Raw genomic sequence first — 25,270 nt, forward strand, 5'->3', positions numbered from 1 at the left:
ACTCCAGAAAAGAAAACATGGTTTACATAATACACCATTGATCGCTGATGGGAAAATGCTTTGGAAGACTCTCCACCTCTCTCTAGAAACTAATTAAACTTTTGAGTTTAGGCACCTGAGCTAAGAACAATCCGTTGCACACTTCTGCATAACTTGAAATATCATATTATAATGTGCTCTCCAAAAGATAACTCCTATCAGAAGTCTCCAGTAAAGTCTGCATCTAAATTAGTTTCCATTCTGAAAAGTTATGTATATAAATACATACATATAACAATGTATTCTATACACATACTTGATTCTCTGCAGCCTATCTTTGAAAAAGTGCAGAATACTCTGCCAGAGATATAATAGACTCAGAACACTCTCCTAGTGTTATATCTGCTAAGTATTTTTTGCAGGTATTTTGGAATTGAGAGCTAGAGTTTAGCTCTAGCACCCCTTGTCTTAGTAGCCAAAATAACTTCTCAAAATACTTTTTAAAAAGTTACCTACATATATTAATCAAATATTTATTTTTAAATTATTTATTCCCTGAGAAAGCCTTTAATGACATGGTTAAACAAAACAAAACAAAAACACATGGCCAGAAAGACAAAAGTCACATTTTAATGACAGCTGGGAGTGAGGGAGGTCAGGAAATGTAGACATGGAGACAAAGCAAGGTCTTATCCCATTGCTATCAGATAGATAGACAGACAGACAGACAGATATATACATACCTATATACACATACATACATACATACATTTGTTTTAATATGGTGGGTAACCTCCATACCAACTGTCTTCCTGCGTGCCTGCCTGAATTACAGAGGCGAAAATCCTAAATACTTCTCTTCTCAGGCTCCCTTACATCCAGACATCTGTTAATTAGATATGCCACCATGTGTAGTGCTGTCTTTGTGACTCCTGGATCACAACTAAGCTTGAGGAGCAACTTCTCCACCTTCCTGATGGTAGCAGAGGTAGCAGTACCTCTGGCAGGCCAGACAAATGGTGTCACCAGACCTGAAGGCACAGGTGAGGTTCTGCTGCTCCAAATTGCCAACCTTTATATACGTATCAAATTCCCTGGTTTTTGTTGCTTTTTTTTTTTTTAAAAAAAGCAGCCGGCTTTTCCTGTTTTCTGAAACTAAAAACTGACTGATCATACACATTTGTATTTCAATATTAAAGTGGGTCAGATAAGTGCTCAATTATTTTAATTTTTTAAATCCACAGCCTCTTTTGGTAAACACATAAGAGATGCTGCTTTAAGTAGAGAGTAGATACACTTCCCGAAGCAATCCCCATTGGCTGTTTTTCTTTCTTTCTATTCTTTATTTATTTATTTATTTATTACTATTATTATCATTTTGAGACAGAGTCTCACTCTGTGGCCCAGGCTGGAGTGCAGAGGTACAAACTCAGCTCACTGCAACCTCCACCTCCTGAACTCAAGCAATCCTCCCACCTCAGCCCCCCTTGTAGCTGGAACTACAGGTGTGCACCACCACACCTGGCTAATTTTTTTATTTTTTGTATAGATGGGGTCTCACTATGTTGCCCAGGCTGGTCTCAAACTTCTGGGCTCAAGCCATCCACCTGCCTCGGCCTTCCAAAGTGCTGGGATTATAGGAGGTCCAACTCCACTGGACCCCCTTGGCTCTTGGCTCTCCTTGGGGTTCAGCCATCACATAATTAGAAACAGCCTCCTTTTCACAATAGGATCATGACTAAGAAATAACTCAAGTTCAAAAGACGTAGGACCAAATTTAGACTCCATTATTCATTATGTAACCTTAAGTAAATTACTTAACCTCCAAGCCTTAATTTCCTCAACTTTCAAATTGAGTAGTACCAATCAAATAGTGTTTAGATTAAATTATACACGTAACGCACAGTAAGCATTAAATGTCTTTAGAGGAAAAAGACATAATTGTCCCTTTCAAGTATTTATAACATCAATTTTGTATGTATGCTTTACATCTAGAAAGAACACTTTTGAGCATTTAATCTTTCCCCCTGGAGATGTTACTCCTCAAACACGCCTGTCCTGCAATCAGTATGCAGGAAGATTAAGTAATGTACTCTGCTCCACCTCAGGATTAATTCCATTCCTAGGCCCATAATATCCTGGAATGTCTCCTTGGAATGAACATTCTACTGGCAGACACACCCTACAGTTCCTCCCCATAAAAATTCTTACCCCAAAACTCCATTCAACTCCCAATGAAGGATCACCACCCAGTCTGAGAAAGAAAGAGCCACATGCTTATCTTCTGCTTCTTACTTTTGAAAAACAGGCCTGAGATAATCAGCCTTTGGAATCCTACCAAAAGGCAGAAACTTAAATTCATGCTATGGGCCAGACCCCCCAGTATAATGTAATTCAAACCTGTGAAACACCCAATTTATTCCTTGTGGAGTGACTTCTGCACTATTTAAGTTGTCAAACAGAAATCTGTTTAGCTAGAACAAAACATGATAGTGGTTTGTAAACCTTTTTAAAGAAAGGTTTCAAGCTTTTCTTAAAAAACAAAACAAAGCAAAAAAAAAAAACAAAAGTTTTTTAAAAGAAGGGAGTTTGTACCATCTTATATTTACAGCACTACCAAAACTGAACCTTTTACACAAATCTCATAAATTTAATTCTTTAACAAAACTTCATTTCAGGTATTTTCATGTTATTTTGACATACGTTTTACTGTGCTGAAAAATACTAAAGGAAAACAAATGAGTGATTATGATAATATTATGCCCTAATTTATCTATATTCTTATGTTAGTTCCTTTTTGCTATCTTCAAAAAACTAAATGACTAAAATCACTGGTGATCTGAAAATATGTTCTACTTTCAGAGACTTTTGTTGTTATAGCTTCCACATTAAGTTCCTTGTGAAATTCCTTTCCAATATTAACAGGTCCCCATGGGACAAGGAAAAAAAATGCCAAGAAAAGAAAAATCATCCTAGTATGTCATGGAATATAAAAGACATTTGCATGAGGAACCATTTAACAATTCAAAACCAAGCCTGCTTTATAGCAGACTGGTAAGACTATAAGTATATTCCTTTGTAAACTGTGACGGAGTATGGAAATCATTAGCATCATCTATTAGGAAAGTAATTTTCAGTTACAGATTAGGAATGTGTATGTGTTTTAAAATTGTAAAAGTAATGTTACAGAAAGTTTTATCAGATGGTTAAAATGGCTTTTTACATAAATTATTCATCATAATTAGAACCCCCTCCATGTAGTCTCCTATTTATTAATACAAACAGAAGGTCATACTTACTTAGAAATGGCAGAGTAAATTTGAAGGAAGTTCACAGCAGAGCTCTCTTTGTTAAGAAAAAGAATTGTCTACCCATTTAAGGTGCCAATTCCTTTGAAAAGAAAAATCCAAACCTCAAAACTGAAGGGGTGGAAGTTGAACCACAGCCTTCTGATCTGTATCCTGGTGATAGCAGTACCTATTCTTACAGTGTTGTTGTAAGGTTTAAATTATGCATACCATAAATCATTCCATAGATGCAAGGTAAAAGAAAACTGCATTTGTCTAAATGCTCTGTGTTAAGCATAAAAAGAATGTCTTTGAGTTTGGGAGGTATGTTACACCTAGGGAAGGTCCTGGTAAAAACTGTCAGAAGTATACAGATAAAAGTTCATTTCAGGTTATTGCAGAGGGGAAGGGCAGCAGGATGGAGTAAGGAGGGTAGGGAAGAAAAAAAATCAGATTAGGGAAAATGCAGACACACCTCTGAAGAGTCATATAAGACTGTATTTAGAATTCTGACATTTCGGTGACCCTTTACTAGGCACAGGGATGACCTAGCAAATTTTATTCCACTTGTTCAGTCAAGTGCACACTCCTGAACAAGGCAGTGACAGGGAAAGGAAAGAGAAAGAACAAGACTTACTGGGGCTCAGTACATACGCAGCATAAGTACTTGAATTCCCCAGGAATCACAAGGCAATTTCAACCCCCTCATGAAGACTGATGGTTCACAGACACAGACCCTCTTGCCCCAGAATGCCTTCATGTTCTTCTATTAAGTTAACACCATTTACATGTAAGAGCAAAAGACATTGTTGAATTCACAAATCTTTGCCCCACACAACAAGTGCTAATGTTTAAGACTTAGTATTAAGAAAAGCAAAGAAAATGAATTTGTAAACCTTCTAAATCAATGCCAAGAGCAAGAGCCAATAAAAACAAAAGTGAATTGTGAGAAATACTTATCACAATGACCATTCTTCACTAAGCCCACTTCCTTCGAGGACTCTTTTCATCTTCGTCTCTAGGGAAAGTTGGTTCCACATATCAAGTAATCAAATATGCTTATTTTGAAAGGGAAACTACCCTAAATGTCTCTTTAAAGGTACTCCTTTATAATTATGTTCTAAAGGAGAACTTTTAGAAATAATGTTTTTTAAGAAACAATACAGTATTTTGAAGCACTCACAAGTCTAAAGGGGTATAAACTGAAAATTATTTGACAGAAGAATATTATGCATATATATGAGGAGAGAGAGAGGAAAGATATTACATGGCAAAATAATACCTTTTTACTTTTGATAAAAATATGGAGTTCCCTCAAAGTTTAGTAAGTTAAAATGAATTAAATATCAATTAAAAACATGTTTCATGGCATTATTGTTAATCATTTCTATTAATTCGTTATATTTTATTAAATTAACCATTGCAAATATCTTCTAAATTTTTCTTACTCCCAGAGTATCTAGATTGACCAATGACCCGCTCCCAGTTAAATTATTTCTCTCCAGGATCGTAAGCTATGTCTTCATCACAACTTCTTACAGGCTTTAAAAGTCTACATGTATTTTTTTTAATCATACAGAACATACATCTACAATATCTAAGGTGTTTTACTGTTTTCTTGAGACTAAAGGCACCACATTAGGAAACGTAAAATAATACATCCGTAGTCTTAGAGAAAGCCCTGATAATAGTGTGATCAACAATCTTAAAATATACATTTTCTTTAAAAACTGAGTTTTTTCAAAGTTACATTTAAAATTAACTTTTAAAAAGTGCATAAAGTTTTTCTTAGACTAAAAAATTATGATTCTTTGATATACAGTGAATCAAACATAAGAAGCAGAAGCATGTCAGACTTAGAAAGCAGCACTGATACTGTGGTCTGAAGAGTGTGCCCCATGAATGGTGGCCCCTCTAGACACTGTGTCTCCTGGTGAGACGCATGGTGGCACACAGGACCCCACCTACAATATGTTCTAGTTGAAATCTACTTAACTTAAATCTATGTTGCCTAGATCTTGCTTTTCCATATACAAGGATTTAAGAACAAGTTAACACCACCACAAAGAAGAAACCAGAAAGATTCAGATGGCACAATATTTTGTAGGGCAACTATCTTGATCTCCTGAAAAAAAGAGTCATAGTGGACACTACTTGAAGGTTACGGGGCATAACCAAATGCAAAGCAAAGTCCCAAATTAGACCCTAATTAGGACAAAGTACCTGTACATGTTTTAGGGGCATTTGAGTCAATGTAAGGAAGGACTGGGTATATATGAGGATGTGAGAATGGACATAACTAAGATGAAAATGAATTAACATGAAAAAGTGAAGAGCATTAGCAGAGAAAAATCAGTTCACAAATGAGGATAACCAAAACAGCATTTCATCTTGGTATAAACAAATGCATACAGAAATAAACAATCTAGAATTCTATACATTGAAGAAAATAGGAATAAACTCTGCAGAAGTTTGCTTTATTTTACTTATACCTATTAATATCTTCGAACTTTCTACAATGAATATTGTTTATAATAAAGTATTTTAATATAAATTTACTATAATTAATAAAAACTTTAAAAATCTGTTCAGGCAACCAAGCTCCTATAAAATTTAATGGTGGGTGATGACAGATGAAGTAGCTGGCCTTCCAAAAAAAAAAAAAAAAAAAAAGGAGAGGGAAGGTCAAGGGGGAAGGATTGCTGAGGCCAGGAGTTTGAGATCAGCCTGGGCAACATATTAAGACTCTCATCTCTACAAAATATTTAAAAATCAGCAAGGTATGGTGGAGCACACCTGTAGTCCTAGCTACTAGGGAGGCTGAGGCAGGAGGATTGCCTGAGCCCAGGAGTTCAAGGTTACTGTGAGCTATAATTGCACCACTGCACTTCAGCCTGGACAACAGAACGAGACCCTACCTCTAAAAAAATTTTTAAAGAGAAGAGAAAGGGATTTAGTGTCAATAAAATTAGCTGACGAAAAATATTAATTGAAACAATTTCACATTTGGTATTGCCTATAAAGTTTCTAAAAGTTAATGCTATTCACAACACTAGAAGGAAAATGAAGTATTATTTCTGGGACCTTTGTTGATGTCATAAGTTACAGGTAGAATGCGAATGTAACTCAAAGTCCTCTCATGTGCAAGCATTACCACACTAGGCAATGTTGGGCTTCCCTGATGGCTGGAATCTGCCCATATTAAATAAGCTAATCAGTTTCCTTGCTACTCATCATGTGATTTTTTTCAGAAAGTTCTAAGCTATTAAACTACTTACTTTTTCACTCTAACTATTGTATAATGATGGCACTATTTCTTATGCCATTATATGACAGGCATAGTTTTGGGTCCCTTTACAAATGTTCTTGTTAAATTCACTAAACAAGCCTCTGAATTCAGTAGGTAAATCAACTGTATATAAGACAGAAAAAAAAACCCTTAGGGTTATTAAACAATATATCCACCATTTTAATGAAAGAGCTTAGATTCAAACTCCTATCTCTCTGACCTTAAAGTCTAGGCTTTTTCAATTCCTTATGACCATGTACCCGGTCCTGCTTCCAGATACCCATCCTTCATCAAAATGAGGTATAACTGAAATACCATCTTGTTTTTTCAAGAAGTTCTAATTATGGTGTTTTTTCTTTCTACAGTACATATTTCTTCCAAGAAAAGCAAAAGGGAATATAGAGCACTTTTCTCCCACTTTTGAAAAAGCAAGTGAACACCTTCTTCCTCCTTGCAAACAGAAAGTTAACCATTTCTTTACTTTCTTTTTCTTATACAAGAACAAGTAATAGCAGATACAAATGTTACTAAATATCTTCCGTTTTAGGGAAAACCAGATTGGAACTGAAACTATGTAACACTATCTCTACATCATTACACTAAGCCAGAACATAATTAAAACTTACATTGAAAAGATCAATTATTACAGGAGATTGGTTCAGAAATCCATGGTTATACTGGCTTGTGCTTGGCATACCTAAAACAAACCTGAAACAAAGTGGCCAACAAATGTAAAAGAAAATGTATTTGCACCAGTTACAACACAAAAGCTTTCAATACTCTCACTGCAGAATTCTGGCTAGATAAATCAGCTTTTAAAGCAGTGAATTTTAAAAAAATCTAAGGCTCTTATGTAAATTAAGGGAGTTTGTTCCTTCTTTAAAATATCTGCCTTCACATCTCATCATTTACTTTGTTGTATAAAAGTTTTAATTGTGAAATATCAAATTCCTCATACACACATTAATTTTCTAAATATCAATCCTCCACTTCTCCCTAGAGTTTGCCAAGGCTGCCAGCAGAGTCTTAAATAACTCAAACCTAGTTATGTAGATACAACACTATGACTTCTCTTCTTCAAGAAAAATTGTCACAAAGAGATTACTCTGACGTTACATACTCAATTACAACTATTCAAGCCAAAAAAGGTTATCTTTCCCTAATCAATACTTAAATGAGATCATAAATAAGAGCTGAGTATTCAGGGCTGGGAAAGGAGTTGTACTGTCATTTTCTTGAGAGGGAGTGGACAAGGGAAGAATGCTGCAAGATCTCAATACTCAGGGGGACTATCTGCTAACAAAACATATTTACAATGTTTTTCAAATTATTTGGTTCTATTCACAGCAAAAGAAACTGGTCTTGCTTCAAGTTTCAGTTAAGAGGGGGTAAGCAGGCTGGGGGCAGTGGCTCACGCCTGTAATCCCAGCACTTTGGGAGGCCAAGGCAGGCGGATCACGAGGTCAGGAGATCGAGACCACCCTGGCTAACACGGTGAAACCCCGTCTCTACTAACAATACAAAAAAATTAGCCGGGCAAGGTGGCGCACGTCTGTAGTCCCAGATACTCGGGAGGCTGAGGCAGGAGAATGGCGTGAACCCGGGAGGCAGAGCTTGCAGTGAGCCAAGATCGCGCCACTGCATCCCAGCCTGGGTGACAGAGCAAGACTCCGTCTCAAAAAAAAAAAAAAAAAAAGAGGGGGTAAGCAAGTGGTTGCTTACTCTACCTTAACAGAATGCAGCTGTAAAACCCAGACAGAATCCATAAAGCAACAATTTGAAGAATCTGAAAAGTAAATTGAAAAGCAGCTGAATAACTACTTTTCCCCTCCAGTATACCCCAGCTTGGACTCAATGCAGCCTAAACTCAGAAGCAAAGGATTAGAAGGAATACAAGGAGATGCTCTATAGCTCAAGGCCAAGTAAAGAGAAGGGGTTTCCTAATGCACAGAGGGAGTTGCCCTTTTTTTATTGATTGAAAGCCACAAATACTTCCATATAATAGCAATAAACAACTTTTAAGATCCCAAAACGAAAATACTTGACTGTAACTCCATCAAAATATGTAGAGGATCTGTATTTTGAAAACTACATAACATAGATGAAGGAAATCAAAGATGACCTAACTAAATTCAGAGGCATATCCTGTTCATGGATTAGAAGACTCAGTACAGTGAAGATTCTTTTCAAATTTATCTGTATTTTTAACACAATTCCAGTCAAAACTCCAGTGGGATTTCTGTAGATATAGACAAGCACATATTAAAATATACAGTATAATAAAGGAACTAGAATTTTAAAAAAGGCAAAAAAGAATAGCAAGCTGGAGAACTGATACAATTCAATTTCAAGACATTATAAAGAAAGCTACAGTAATCAAAACAATGTGGTATTGACAAGTAGACACAGATCAATGGAACAAAATAGACAATCTAGAAATAGAGCCACACAAACATGAACAACTTGTTTTTGACAAAGGTGCAAAGGCAATTCATTAGAGAAAGGATAGTCCTTTCAACAAATAATAGTGGAATAATTGGACTGTATGCTAAAAATATGAATCCAGAGCTAAAGCTTATACCTTTAACAAAAATTAACTCAAAATGATTAATACATCTAAATACAAAATGAAAAGCTGTAAAACTTTAAAAAACAAAAATACATTCATGATCTGGATTTAGGCAACAAGTTCTTAAGACACCAAAGCATAGTACATTTTTAAGAATTGGTAAATTGGATTTTATCAAAATTAAAAACTTTTGCTCTAAAAATACACAATTAAGAGAATAAAAAAGACAAGCAACAGTCTAGGAGAAAATATTTCCAAATCACATATCAGACAAATAACTTGTATCCAGAATATATAAAGAACTTAGAATATTCTGCAGTAAGAAAACAGCCCAAATTAAAAATTGGCCAGGGACTTAAACAGTTGTCTCAAAAAAGGATATACAAATGGCAAATAAGCACATGAAAAGCTTTTCAACATCAAGTGCCTTTATGAAAATGTAGATTAAGAACAAAATGAGATCTCATGACACATGTATTAGAATGGCTAACATAAATACCAACGATACTATGTTGGTGAGGATGCAGATCAAATAAAATTCTCATGCACTCTTGGTGGAATGCAAAATGGTACAACTACTCTAGACAATGGTCTAGAAGTTTCTTATTAAATATACACTTACCATGACCCAGCAATCTCTCTCCTAGGCAGCATAAAAAAGAAATCAAAATTTTGTACTTGAAATGAAAATACTGTACTTGAATGTTCTATTCATAATGAACCCAAACTGGAAACAATCTAACTGGTATTCAATGGGTGAATGGATAAAGAAACTGCAGTACATCCATACTACAAAATACTACACTTAGCTATAAAGAGGAACCACTGACACACGTAAAAGTTAGATGAATCTCAAAGGCATTATACCGAGTGAAAAAAAGTCTCAAAAGGTTGCATACTGTATGGTTCTATTTTTAAGACATTCATAAAAATTCAAACTACAGTGACAAAGAATAGCTCAGTGGTCACCAGGTGTTATTGATAGGGACGGTCTCATTATAAAGTAACAGCAAAAGGGATTTTTCTGGAGGGATGGAACCAGTCTATGTCCTGATAGTGGTGGGAATTTTGTAAACATGTGCATGGGTTAAAACTCCTAGCACTGGAGCTGGGTGCAGCAGCTCACATCTGGAATCCCAACTCTGGGAAAATAAGGAGGGAGGATTGCTTGAGGCCAGGAGTTCAAGACCAGCCTGGGGAACATAGTGAGATCTCATCACTCCAAAAAATTAAAAAGCTTAGCTAAGGCCGGGCGCGGTGGCTCACGCCTGTAATCCCAGCACTTTGGGAGGCCGAGGCAGGCGGATCACGAGGTCAGGAGATCGAGACCATCCTGGCTAACAAGGTGAAACCCCGTCTCTACTAAAAATACAAAAAATTAGCCGGGCGTGGTAGCGGGCGCCTGTAGTCCCAGCTACTCGGGAGGCTGAGGCAGGAGAATGGCGTGAACCCGGGAGGCGGAGCTTGCAGTGAGCCGAGATCGCGCCACTGCACTCCAGCCTGGGCGACAGAGCGAGACTCCGTCTCAAAAAAAAAAAAAAAAAAAAAAAAAAAAAAAGCTTAGCTAAGTGTGGTGGCAACACACCTGTAGTCCTAGCTTCTTGGGAGGCTGAGGTGGATTGCTTGAGCCCAGGAATCTGAGGTTACACTAAGCTATGATCACACCACTGCACGCCAGCCTGAGAGAAAGAGCAAGAGCCTATCTCAATTTTTTTTTAATTTAATAAACTCCTAGAAGTATACACCCAACAAAAGTCAATTTTACTGCATGTTAATTTGTCCAAAGTTTTAATAGCCTTAATTGATATCCAGGCTGCCACACAGTTTTCTATTTGTTCTTGTGCTACCTCCATTTTAAAGTAAAAGTATCCATGACAGGAGAAAGAAATCACACAAGTAAACAGTATATTTATGTCTATTATCTGTGGATATGCTGTATATTTCTGGCAGAATAATGGCATCCAGAAGCTGAAAGAAGACTGGGCTACAGTGAAGCTCCTACGGACAGAACCAGTCATTTGAATCCCATGTCCTATTGCTTAAGCATTCAAAAGGAGAAAAAGAAAATGTATTTTCTGATTCTTTGTAGCTGCATTTGAAGTAAATATGAAATTTCATTTTAGCTTAGAACCTAGAGTTTAAAAATTAAAACAAAATTTAAGCAAAACAGTTGTAAAATACTTAGCATGTTTTATATTTGTTATTTAGTCAACTCTCAAATTAGATAGCAGATTAAGATTCATAAATAATTGCTAGTGACAAAAGAAAAGTGTATTTGTAGAGAAATTAAAATTGTTAAGAAACTGAAACAAAAAGTAAAATGTTTCCACTTTGTAAACCTCACAACATTTGGCACAATATCTGGCACATGGTAAGCATCGATCATAATTTCAGAATGGGTCCTCTGATAATAGCTTTAAACAGAAAAGTCCACAGATCAAACCTGCACCTCTATAATGTAGGCTAAGATTGAACAATTCATACATCCAAATGTGTATGTGTATTTGCCAGTAATATATCTGAAGGCAAGAGATGATGGAAATATGGAAAAACTGAGTTTACTTGGCCCAATACAGCAGGAAAAAGCACAGGATTGAAGTGAGAGAGGGATTTTGCTGAAATCAAGAGAAGATTGTGGCACAGCTTCCATTGCCTCACTCAGTAGACAGTGTTGACTTTCCAAATAAGGTCCATTGGGTGATCTGATAAAGTTAGAACATACATATGTTCAGGTTTTAGATATAGAAAATCTGTAACAAATTAAAAGTCTGAGATAGTTTATTTTAATACTGAGAGTTTTTAGTCCTTGAAGTATCAGTATTTTGATACATAACTATTTTTGAAAGTCTATAAAATTCCCTGAACAACATCCCATTAGATTTACAAGTTGGGAATAACATTTTAAACTAAAACTCATGCTTAAAGGAGGGAAAGAGAGGGAGGAAGGAAGGGGAGGGAGGCAAACTGAAAAATGAATAATTAAAGGAAGACATGAATAGAAGTTTTCCAAAACTAAATAATCAGGTGACATATCAGTGCTAAATGGTCTTTCTCTTTCTGAAGAACAGAAATTGCCACTTCAAAGATTATAGATTGCAATATATAGATTTTTAATTCAGTTTTTATGACAAGTATTTCCTCAAATAAAAAATTTTCCACTATTATAAAGCCTTAGTGATCTTCTGGAATGTAAACTTGGTCAAAGGATAAGAACCAAAATATTTGGAGAATGTTAGAAAGTAACTTTTACTTCAACTATTTTATGTATGTCAGTTTAAATTTTTGTATATTTATCTGCCTCTCAATAAATGTATTAGTAATATGTGATATCTTTAAAAGCGTTAATCATACAAGATTTAAAAAGCAAAGTTTGGCCGGGCGCGGTGGCTCACGCCTGTAATCCCAGCACTTTGGGAGGCCGAGGCGGGCGGATCACGAGGTCAGGAGATCGAGACCATCCCGGCTAAAACGGTGAAACCCCGTCTCTACTAAAAATACAAAAAATTAGCCGGGCGTAGTGGCGGGCGCCTGTAGTCCCAGCTACTTGGGAGGCCGAGGCAGGAGAATGGCGTGAACCCGGGAGGCGGAGCTTGCAGTGAGCCGAGATCCCGCCACTGCACTCCAGCCTGGGTGACAGAGCGAGACTCTGTCTCAAAAATAAATAAATAAATAAATAAAATAAAATAAAATAAAATAAAAAGCAAAGTTTGACAAAACTAGCATTGCTTATAATCCATCTATTTTTAGATAAGTAGGCTTATGATATCTTTTGTCAACTAACATTGTACAAAATATCACCTTCCTTCTAAAATATGGCTTTAATCAATTTGTCTAATCACAAATATGTATTATACACACGAAGACAGCCAAGGTAGTAAGCCCTAGAGGTACTTGAAGCTTGTCACAGTGGTGACAAGCAAATACCAATAGTCCAGGCCCAGCAGACTAGGCAGGTAGCTACTTAAGGACACATCACACCCAAGTTAGAGGCAGAAAACATCTTCTTGAAGGAAGTGAGGGCTCAACATACTCGAATAATGAGACAGACACAGGCTAATGAAGAGGGCGATGAAATTCCTCTAGATACTGGTGAGAGGCAGAGAGAAGTATCTTTCAGGAACAGGGATAGTAGGAGATAAGGCTAGGGAGGAGGACCAGGCCCCTATCAGTGTCTTACATGACCAATGTTAGGCCTTAGCAAAAAAAAAAAAAAAAGGACATGTTTTAAGCAAGAAAATGACAGAATCTGAGTTGCATTTTGGGGTGCTTTTCTTGGTGCTAATATGAAAAATGGTTTGGAGGAAAGTAAGACCAGAGACAGGAAAACCAGCTGGGAAACTGCTGGAGTCATTCAGACCAGCAATCTCCAGACGTATTGGATCACACAACTCTATGAGTAAAAGAAAAAGAATTAACACAACTTATAAATAACATGTGCTGCTGTATTCATGCGTGCTTTTTTTAAAAATGAAAATGAAAATAATAAAAGTTTACTTATGAAAACAAAGTCTATAATATGAAATGTCTGTTTCATATTATATAAAATAAACATGTAATATGTGTTATTAATGGTACATTGTTATTAAAGGTGAATATAAATCTTTATTTCAAATAGTCTGATAACTGCTTTTGGGGGCTCAATTCTTATCAGATCTGATCGTTTCTTATAACGTGGCTGACAAAATGTTGATACAAAGGATAACTGTCAACTTTGCTATTTTCTTGTGGTTCACTGGTGCTTGCATTTTCACTGTATTCAATGTACAGCTTCTTTGCAAATATATTCACCTGTCCATCATGAAGATTAGTTAATAAATAATATAATGTGTAAAACACTTACCTGGTTTACGTAACCTGCATTATACTGAAAGATGCTAACTACACAAGGCCAACAAGGCATCTCCTAGTGCAGCTCAAATCGACCTCTCCTCCCACAGCCCAACTCCAACACCACACATGGACTCTCTGACCCACAAACTGAGTAACATTCTAGTGCCTACCTATGTTTTATTAGTAAAGCATAATTTCTGATTTTAAAATTACATATTAATAGAAGTTCTAGTGCTTTCTTTCTCATGCCAGTAAGTCATTTTATATGTCTCCTTTCTCTGAAAATTCAACTGATCTAGAAGACAAATGATGATGGCCTCAAGTGGCTAAGGGAAAAGATGCAGACTTTTCCATATTAATATTTGATTCATAAATTTTTGGAGTAATTTTAAGTTTACAAAAAATTGATCAAAAAGTACAAACATACTCCTTTCATCTCCTCCCTAGCACACACATACAGTTGTCTCTATTATACACAACTTGTATCAGTGTGGTAATTTTGTTACAACTAATGAACCAATACTGATATATTATTCTCTCTGTCTGTCTCTCTCTCTCTCTCTCTCTCTCTCTCTCTCTCTCTCTCTCTCTCTCTCTATATATATATATATATATATATATAAAACTAAAGTTCATAGTTTACATTAGGGTTCACGCTTTTTTATTGGTTTTGAAAAAAATGTATAATGTGCCCCTTATTACTATATCATACATCATGGTTTTACCGCCCTAAAAATCCCATGATCTATCTATTTATTTGTTCCTCCTTCCGCATCTCAAATCCCTAGCAATTCATCTTTTTGCTGTCACCATAGTTTATGTTATATAGTTGGAATAATATAGTATGTAGCCTTTTCAGTTAGGCTTCTTTCACTGAGTAATATGCATTTAAGGTTGCTCCATGTCTGTTCATGGCTTGATAGTTCATTTTCTTTTATCGTGAATATTTCATTGTATGGGTATACCACAGTTTGTGTATCCATTTACCTATTGAAGGACATCCTGTTTGCTTCCAAGTTTTGGCAATTATGAATAAAGCTGCCATAAATATCTGTGTGCAGGTTTTCGTGTGGACTTAAGTTTTCAGTTCATTTGGGTAACTACTAAGGAACATGATTGCTGGATCATATAGTAAGAACGTGTTTAGTTTTGTAAGAAACTACCAAACTGTCTTCCCAAGTGGCTGTGCCATTCTCATCAGCAATGAATGAGAGTTCCTGTTGCTCTACACTCTCTCCAGCATTTGGTGTCGTCCATGTCTTACATTTTAGCCATTTTAATAGGTGTTTACATATTTTCTATATCCAGACAATTTCTTAAATGTTTTTATTGGTTTTAAATGAAAGGTTTCCTTTGATTCTCTTAGTTACTGTTAGGGGTCTTGTTTACAAAAAATAAAAGGAAGAAAAAGGGAAGGAAAAAAAAAAACTCCAACGTCACTCCTTTGAAATTTGTGCTGCCATTTCTTCTATAACAGTGACTTCCCAAGGAATATACAGTGACTATCTGTGTACCACAAAACTGAGTTTGATACCTAGTTCTGCCACGTACAATCTATATAACTTTAAGCATGATTTTTCTTTAATTAATATGATATGAATAATTTTCTACTAACTAAGCCATTCTTGAACTCCTGCAATAATCTCACTTAGTAACAGCAATTTAATTTTGGATTTTACAACCATACTTAGAGGATGGCTTCTTTTTCATTTTGTGCAATTTCATTGTAAAATATTAGTAGAAATGTACTCACTATGTAAAATAAACTCAAGCTTCCTGGCTTCTTTTATGCTCTGTAAAACTATAAAGAGTGTGTAATGCCTTCCTTAGATGACTTAATACGCTTGTTTCTATAAATGACCCCAGAGCCTTTGGAGGGTAGCCCTTTGATAACTTTCTTCATAATTTTCATTCTATTATTGATAGATCCAACAGCTCTAATTCTTGATTCAATTTATTTATTTTTCTTTTCTTTTGAGACAGGGTCCCACTCTGTCACCCAACCTGTGGTACAGTGGCACAATCACAGCTAATTGTGGCCTCTACCTCTCGAGTTCAAGCCATCCTCCCACCCCAGCCTCCTGAGTAGCAGGGTCTACAAGCATGTGCTGCCACACTCGGCTAATTTTTCTATTTTTTTGTAGAAACAGAAACAGTGTCTCACTAGTTGCCTAGGCTGGTCTCAAATTCCTGAGCTCAGGTTATCCTCCTGCCTAAGCCTTCCAAAGTGCTGGGATTATAGCGTGAGCCACCATGGCCGGCCTATATTTCTTCTAGAAACTCATCCATTTCATCTGCAATTTCTAAGCCATTACCACAAGTTATATCTAACTCTGGAAAGCCATTACAACATTATTGTTCTCTTTTTCATTAAATTTTCAAGAAGTCTATTTTGACCTTCCCCTAAAAAATGGCTACATAGGACCAGGCATGGTGGCTCACACCTGTAATCCCAGCACTTTGGGAGACCGAGGTGGGTGTATCACCTGAGGTCAGGAGTTCAAGACCAGCTTGACCAACATGGTGAAACCCCATCTCTACTAAAAATTTAGAAAAAAAAAATTAGTCAGGCACGGCAGTGGGCTACTCAGGAGGCTGAGGCAGGAGAATCACTTGAACCCGAGAGGCAGAGGCTGCAGTGAGCCAAGGTCATGCCACTGCACTCCAGCCTGGGTGACAGAGTCAGACTTCGTCTCAATTAAAAAAAAAAAAAAGCTACATAGTTTTTCAATTCTACATTTGTCAAATCATTAATTACTACTTATATGTGTATTATTTACATCCTCTCCATATATTTGTTTTGTTGTTTTAGTATCATGAGTTGAATTTCTTATTCATGTTCTCATTTTCCACTTTGATAATGTAAATACAGTACAGATACTTATTTGCATCTGAGTATAGCCTATTAATAGTATTAGCATTGTTTTTACTGTTTATACTTGTTTTGATTTCTCCTTTGCATTTAGAATAATTTAATTATTCTCCTATTAGCTTATCCTCTAAGCATTTAGGATAATTTAATTATTATTTCCAAGTGGTTGAGTTTATTTTTGTTTGAGCTTTATTTTATTTTATCTTATTTTATTTTATTTCATTTTGTGACAGAGTCTCGTTGTCACCTAGGCTGAAGTGCAGTGGCAATATCTCGGCTCACTGCAACCTCTGCCTCCCAGGTTCAAGCAATTCTTGTGCCTCAGTCCCCCGAGTAGCTGGGACTACAGGCATGCACCACCACGCCCAGCTAATTTTTGTACTTTTAGTAGAGTTGGGGTTTCACCATGTTCACCAGGCTGGTCTTAAACTCCTTATCTCAAGTGATCTGCCCACCTCAGCCTCCCAAAGTGCTGGGATTACAGCCATGATCCACCGTGCCTGGCCTGAGCTTCATTTTAAATAATATCTTTGGGTCCAAGAATGTCTCTGTACAATTCATATTTGTGTAAATGAACTAGACTTTCCTTCTGACCCAATCTGTAATTAGTTTTACAACCTTCCTTAATAAGCACATTTTACCTCAGTTTGATGCTTTATAGTCTTTTGACTTGGTAAATAATTTTTAATACTATGTTTTTGCTGGATTATACAATAGCTTAGGGACTTACTGATATATAGAGGCCCTCATGGTAAGGTTTACAATTTTTGAGTCTAGTTCTAATAGTTTTTCTGTCTCCTTTTGTTTTCATCATCAGTGCTTACCGTTAGTCCAACACATTTATAGCAGTCTATCTTCCACCATTCTAAATCACCATTTCTACCATCTGCCTTTGGTTTTGAAACCAAATAGCTACATGTTAGGATTAAATGTTAAATAAAAATTGATAAGGCATGAACAAACATCTGTTAGTGTCTTTTAAGAAACATACTTGAATTTTGTGGTACTTCCTTTAGCTAGTCTGACATTATTTCCTTACTTCTTTGTTTTAAAGTTCAGTTTTCCAAGGAAGAGTGTAAGTTTAACTAGATTTTTTAAGCATTTAAGCCCTTTAAAAAAATACAACACTATTACTTTTTTAAAAACTTTAAAATTTTAAGTAAATAACATAAAAGTCCACAGTGTTTTATAATCTTTCATATATTACTGCATTTGAAAGAAACTATCACTAAGTGAAGTTGCTTCAACCAGAAATAGCTGGTATGTTGCCCCACTCACATATTCTTAAAAAGTAAGAACAATGTTTCTTTTTATAGCCAAACAATGTGGTACTTTCTACAGCATTCACTAAATACTCTCAAAGTACGTTGGAAAGCAGCACTAGAGCAACACTTGGAATTCATTAATCACCAGACTGTCATCCTCAAAAAAATGTCAATATATGAAGTAGCTGAAATATTCCCATTCTTAACTACAACAGTGTTTTTTTGACTTAGAGGATAAATTGTCATTTAAATTAGGTATGAATAAGATTTATATTTGAATTTTAATTAAAGAAACCAGCAATCTGTTCTCGCCCTTCAATAGAAATCACAGTTGAAAGATATGTGCAGTTTATATATTTTAATATTCTGGTAGGTATGCTTGATAGCATCCATAAAAGCCATTTTAAAAATGTCCAACTACAAAGGAAATAAATATTCATTATTAAGTACCAAACATAATGAACTCTTATTCCTACATGTAACAAAATGTCCCTAGCCAGCAAAATCCCTGTTTCTGAGGACATTCTGGGGGTTGCTATTTATCATCCACAAAATCAGGATATTAACACAAAAAATATTTGGGGGTCTAAAATTCTGTATGATTCATTGCCTAAGCTAAATGACAAATAGCTCAAAATTACAGAATTGGTCTTTCAAGAACAAATAGCCAACTCTCAGGGTATTAAGGACAATCCAAAGACAACAATGACAAGAAGATATTTAACCTCTAAAGAACTGACTTTACAAAAACTATTTTTAAAGTATCTAAATAAGCTGTCGAATTAAAGTGACTATTAGTCATTTCCATTAAACAGACTATAAAATAATTTGTTTTGAAACACCTGGAGTCAGCATCTTTTAATAATTTGAGTTGCCCTGATCATGATATATAATTTCTCAAATACAAGCACTGTACACATTTAAGCTCAAAATTTTATGCAAGATATTCACATGACATTAACATCATATAATAGAACTAGAATTTTATATATAAAGAACCACACAATTCTGGTAATTATTTAAACTGTTTAGTAACAATTTTAACAAAAAAGCCCTCTTTTAAATAAATGCCAAAAGAGCTCTTTAAAAAATCATCTATCTTCTTTTACTTTGAGATGTTTAGAAAATTTTACTTTAGAAAAAATAAAACAAATATCAGATATAATGGCATATGTATGAGGGAAAAAGGATTTAATACAAAAAAATCATTCACTTCTCTAGATCTCAACCCAAACAGACATCATCTTATAATCATATGATTTTTTCATTACCTATAATTCTAGTAAAAAGAAACATCTTTTGATTCTAGACTATGGACAATTTTCCTTTCTGGTATTTGGGATATATTTATGAATTTTTTTTTCTAAAAGAAGAGATTTGAAAATTGGATTTGGGGCTGGAGAGGTATGTTCTAGAAATATAAATCTGTCTCATATACAGATTTTATATTTATCAGAAAATTTATTTTTAAAATTTGTATTGTAAAAATCCAAATTATATAAAAATCCAAAAGTAATTATATAAGTATATGCCATATAAAAACTAAATGAATGACATAGCAAAGAAATTTAATATAGATATTAAAATGTTGATTGTTATAGCAATATAGAAGTATTCATAATTGTCATAAAATTATAGGATCCAAATTTTTAAAACAAAGGAAACACCCTAAAATCAAAAGAGTTGATTCTTTTGGTATGGTAACATTGAAGTTAATTGTTATACATGTCATGAACATATTTTAGTAATTTATAATTCTCCAAATCACTAAAGCTCAAAATTTTTACTATTGAATTTTATTCAAGTTCTCTAAAGGGAATTCAGATATCAGAGATATGGTTCACAGTGGAAGCTTTAAAAAAAACTATCCAAAACAAAAGTTACTTGAAAAGAAGTATAAGAAAAATAACAAAATATATGAAAGGCATGTTGAAATATATGAAAATAAATACATGAAGCATGCTTCAAGCACTAATTTGTCAAAACATTCTTACTGACTTTGAACAGAAATTGCTTAACTTCAAGTGACATGTTACTCAACTGAGGAATAAACAAAACCTAGAGTTAGTCAAATAAGCAAATGGTGGCCAAAACTTGCATAATAGATATAATCCACTTGAAAGAAAGCCCCAGGAACAACAGAAGAGCATTTCTGATTACAGAAGTATTGAATTAGTGATGCAATTCATTGCATAAAGAACAAGATAAGTGAAATAACAGTCATTGACAACTGGGAGTTCAAAAGAAGAGTCAGTTCTGAATCTGAACAAGTTTAAGACACACCTTAAAACTATTTTGTTTACATGTTTCTTCTCATGATTTTACAGGATATGATGAAAATAGGAAAAATTAATTTAAAATCTTTCAGTATCATTAAATAGAGAACTAAGCAATAATGCATGGTGTTTGGAATTGTTCTAGATTTCAATTGTGATAGTGCCATTATAACTGCATGTGTTTATCAAAACTGGCAGAACTATAGGTAATTTTACCATACGCAAATTGTGCATTAATTAAAAATTGTAAAGCACTGTATCAGTTTAACTGGCCGTGATTGTCTTTCAGTGAAATGTACATAACAGTGAATCTAAGATTTGATGTCATCCTAAATTTAATGGAATACCATGTAACTAAAGATTGACTCTAGTTAAAGAGCTAGAATTCCATTATCTGTGACTAGCATTCTATATTGGATTCCAGTATCTCTCTCAATTTCTGGGCTCTAAGATTACTTATTTTAAAATGGTATTCTGACTTCCAGAAAAGTCAAAGTACATTTTTCAAACCCCTATCTGAAAGACATTTAGTGAAAGAATCGACAAGACATAACTGAAAAAATGGAACAGCCAAAAAAGTATATTTAGGTTTCTGTTATCAAGACTAGAAATACATAAAGAACCTGAGCAACAGTCTACAAAAGTTCACCAAAAAAGAAAAAAAAGTTTTTATATTCTCCAAATTGAACGCTAGAAGCATCTACACTTGGAACTATCAACCTAAATTCATAATCCTCTGTGGTAGCATTTTTGCTGAGGTTCAACAGTTCACATAGATTGAGATGTCAAGACCTGTTTCCTTTCATTCAAAAACTAAAATACCTGCAGCATGGTCTTGATTTCTCCTGAGACTCTTGATTAGATTCCAATTTGTAGTAACCATGACAACCCATTTCAAACTAAGGCTCTGAAAAAAAAAATACTTTTTTTCTGACATCACAACTAGCTGAAGATATTTTAAGACTTATGCTATTTTCATCAACATCTAGAAACACAAATAAAAGAACAAAATCATTTCAATTTCTGACACTGTATTATGTACGAAACTAGGTCAGCCAGTCAAGAACACTTGAATGTTGGTTTTACACACAAAATTAAAATCATGATGTATATAGGATTTAAATATCACTATTCTACCACAACATTTTAATTGATTCATTTTACAAAAATGAATTAACTGGCCTACCATGTGTGCTAGGTACATAGTGAAGTAAATAAGGCATGCATTGTCCCTGTCCTCCTAAGATTTTTATAAACTACTTAGTTCCTGTCTGTTATTTATCAGTTTATATTCTAGAAACATTAAATTTCTAGAAAAAAAGTCTTCATAAAAAGGTGAGCAAATAGCCTTTTTGTGACACTATAGAGGCAACAACAGACTAATGGTTAAGTGAATGTGAATGGTTTCACACTGTTCCTCCCATGACCTTCCAAACCTCCTGTAACTCTGGCAAGAGTTCACCCTTCCCTGCCTAGATTTCTCCAGATATAAAACAAGTATCTTAGCACCCCTCTCTGAGTTGTCATAAAAATAAAATACATGCTAAGCCCTTGGTACAATGCCTAGCATATATTAGAGTACGCATTTGATAATTGTTAGTTGATTCTTGTATTAAAAATTATAACCCTGATTTTAGTTTTAAAAAGACTTTGTAAAAAAAAGTCATTGTTTAAATAAGCATTATGCAGTTGCACCCTACTGTATACTAAAATAGAAATAACTTAGTTTTGTACTTTCCCCGTAAGTATGGCATAACCAAATTCATTTATACAAACTCAAATAAATTAGGTCTTGATTATTCACCTCAAAGATTTTACCATTGATTCTTTTAAATAACAACTTTTTTCAGTACATATAAGACCAAAGATTAAATTTCCAAATTTTTTTTTAAAACCACAACTGATTTCTAAACAACTTTTCTAAAATTAGATTTTAGAAAGTGGCACACACTTCTAATTCTCACAGGCCTATCATCAAATGGATAGATATGTGCAAAAATATTGAATAAATACATCTTCACTACATTCAGTTCCTACTTTAAGTATTTTAAACCACAACAGAACAATATGCTAATGTGAATCTACATTGTCATATGAAATTTTGGTTTAATCAACAAAGATCTCTTAGTAATGCACTTATTTTAACCACTAGATGAACAACCATGTACCCCTTGAAAGACCTCACAGGGGTAACCAATGGTACAAAATGTATAAAGTCAAACTGGGCATTCAAGAAGCTTCTCAGGAAAGACTTTTTACCTTGAATCATGGTTGCTTTTTTAGCTAAACAGATAGAAACAGCATTATTTTCATCATGTAACCAGCTACCATCATCCAAATGGAACATCAGGGGTGTTGGTTATTTCTCCACCTGGCTGCTGAGTTGGTGACCCTTTCAGGCATCAACAAGTAGTAAAAACTCATAAGCTAATTATTAAATGAAAGCATCTCCATGTCTCTTAAAATAAGAAATGAACAACAAAGTAGCAAAATAAATACAGGGCTTCCAATTTCAACTCCAATGTTTACTCTCCAGCATCACAACTGAACTTATTGGGCTGCTGGAACACCACAAGGAATTTACAAGAAAACTGTTTGTAGTCAAGCTGAAAATTTCAGCAAAATCTTTTTTATATGATCACATGATTATTTTGAGCTATTTTATGGAAATGCATAAGAGGAAAATGACTGGGAAATAAAATTTTAAGATCTTACCAGCATGTGCTTTACACAGCTCTGCAAAATGGGTTGTAATTTACATTTTATAAGCTAGGGGACAGAGGCTGTGAGAATCAAGTAACTTTCTCAAGGTTACCCAATAAGAAAACGGCACATCCTTCATTCAGACCCATGTCTGTGTAACAAGGTCAGAACAGGCACAAGGAATGCTACTTTTATAAAGTTTTGGAAAAGTAATCTCTAAAAATCCTTCACACAGTATACACTAAAATAATATATAATTTAAATAGATGAATCAGAGTAGTAAGGTAGCAAGAATGAATTACTTTGTAGAAGCTGCTTCATTTCTCATTGTCTCTTTGGTTCCCCTCTACCCTTCCCCATCTGATAAATCGGGACAAAGATAGTAGTATCTCTCACACACAGACATAAGGATAAAATGCTATAATATTAATATATTCAACATACCTAACATTAGACCTAGCATCTAATAAGGTCTTAATAAACAATTGATTTTTGTATTATTACTTTTATTCTTATATATAAAATTAAAGAGTCTTTACTTTCTGCTAGGTGATCAATTAAGCAATCTTCTCTGAGGAAGGCATTGGGTGTGTCTTATCTCTCATCCTGATGGAGTTTGACACATAGATGTTTAATAAATAGTCATTGAATAAATCAACTAAAATTTTCCATATACGTTTATCTCAATGTATGTATACTGACGGAGAGTAAAACAATAAGGTATTCCTTCTGCTAATCTTTCTTTTTTCCCACAATAATTCATTGATTCAAAAGTTTTCTGAGGACACAGTATCTCCATAGGAAGTCCTACTTGGTTAAAGAGAAAGAGGGGGAAAAAGACAGAATTTGCCTATATCATATAAAGAAAAACAGGTAGACATGTACATACAAAATACCTCAATTCAGTCTTTCCTCCATTAAAAGTAAACTATACCTCAACTTTAGAAAAAATGTATAAATTCTTACTATCCTCTAAACCTTCCTCCACCCTCCAAGTTCTCTTAATTACCTGTCATCTAATTATATGCAACAAAGGAGGAGCCAAAAAATGACTATATTTGACATAAGTGTCTCAGCATTTTAGTCTCTTTCTCTTATCCATTATTCAATTTGATAAGTTAACTTACCGTGTTGACTTCTTGAGCTAATGAGCTAATTTGGAGAAGGGCAGACACTGAAATCACTAGTTTCTACTGTGAGCTGGTGAACTTGATTTGATCTTCATAGCAGGAAAGTGAGGTCAGAAATGCATACTTTCCAGGCCAGACACAGGGGCTCATGCCTGTAATCCCAGCATTCTGGGAGGCCGAGGTGGGCAGAGCACTTGAGGTCAGGAGTTTGAGACCAGCCTGGCCAATGTGGTGAAACTCATGTCTACTAAAAATACAAAAATTAGCTGGGTGTGGTGGTGCACACCTGGAATCCCAGCTCCTTGGGTGGCTAAGGCATGAGAATTCCTTGAACCCAGGAGGCGGAGGTTGCAGTGAGCCGAGGTCATGCTACTGCACTCCAGCCTGGGGGACAGAGTGATATCCTATCTCAAAAAAAAAAAAAAAAAAGATTCACAGAAATGCATACTTTCCAAATGCTTAAGGCAAGAGAGCACAGTGATACAGAACACAGACTTTGAAATCAGACAGATCTGACATGAAAACCTGACTCCATCTCTTACTTAATCTCAGTTAAGAAAATTGTATAAGCCTAGTTTCCTCCTGTATAAAAAGGGATAAAACATGAACCCTATGTGGTTGTTGCAGGAGGATGTGAAAGTGCTGCCCCAGTACTTGGTATTAAGAATATCAATAAATCATTAGGACTATGATCTATTTTTAAACAATTTTCAAACAAAGTATTACCATTATCCTAATTGGTTAAAGATCCATGGGAATTGTTCCTCCCCAAACCATATTATTCATTCTAACACAGCCTCAAGCACTCACCCAGATTCCTCTACCTGACACGCACAAGAGAAAGGGAAGGGGTTAGAAAAAACACACAACTATTTGAAAGACTCAAATTCCTCCACTGTACCCTTCTTCGCAAAAAGTAAAATTTCTTAGACCATCGAAATCCTAATTATGGAAAAAACTATTTTTGAAAACCCAGTAGGGACAAAACAATGTGAGCAAGTGCTAATGTAGATAAAAAGAGAAATCTTGCACTAAGAAGTTTATAATTTTGTGTAAAAGCAAGCTTGTAC

At 35.0% G+C, this 25,270-nt stretch overlaps 1 protein-coding gene across 10 annotated transcripts in view; it reads right to left on the bottom strand.

Annotated features, from left to right (window-relative positions):
- Window positions 1–25,270, bottom strand: part of COBLL1 (cordon-bleu WH2 repeat protein like 1) — a 184,146-nt gene that overhangs the window by 132,857 nt on the left and 26,019 nt on the right. Inside the window, exon 3 of one of the 10 annotated variants that reach the window (NM_001278458.2) lies at window positions 9,747–9,767. The exons of the other annotated variants lie outside the window; for them this stretch is intronic. Within the exon in view, the coding sequence (NP_001265387.1) occupies window positions 9,747–9,767 (21 nt within the window). The remainder of the gene's footprint in view (window positions 1–9,746; window positions 9,768–25,270) is intronic. 10 annotated transcript variants of the gene reach the window in all.

Source organism: Homo sapiens, chromosome 2 (genome assembly GCF_000001405.40).
Source record: "Homo sapiens chromosome 2, GRCh38.p14 Primary Assembly".
Classification (NCBI taxonomy): domain Eukaryota; kingdom Metazoa; phylum Chordata; class Mammalia; order Primates; family Hominidae; genus Homo; species Homo sapiens.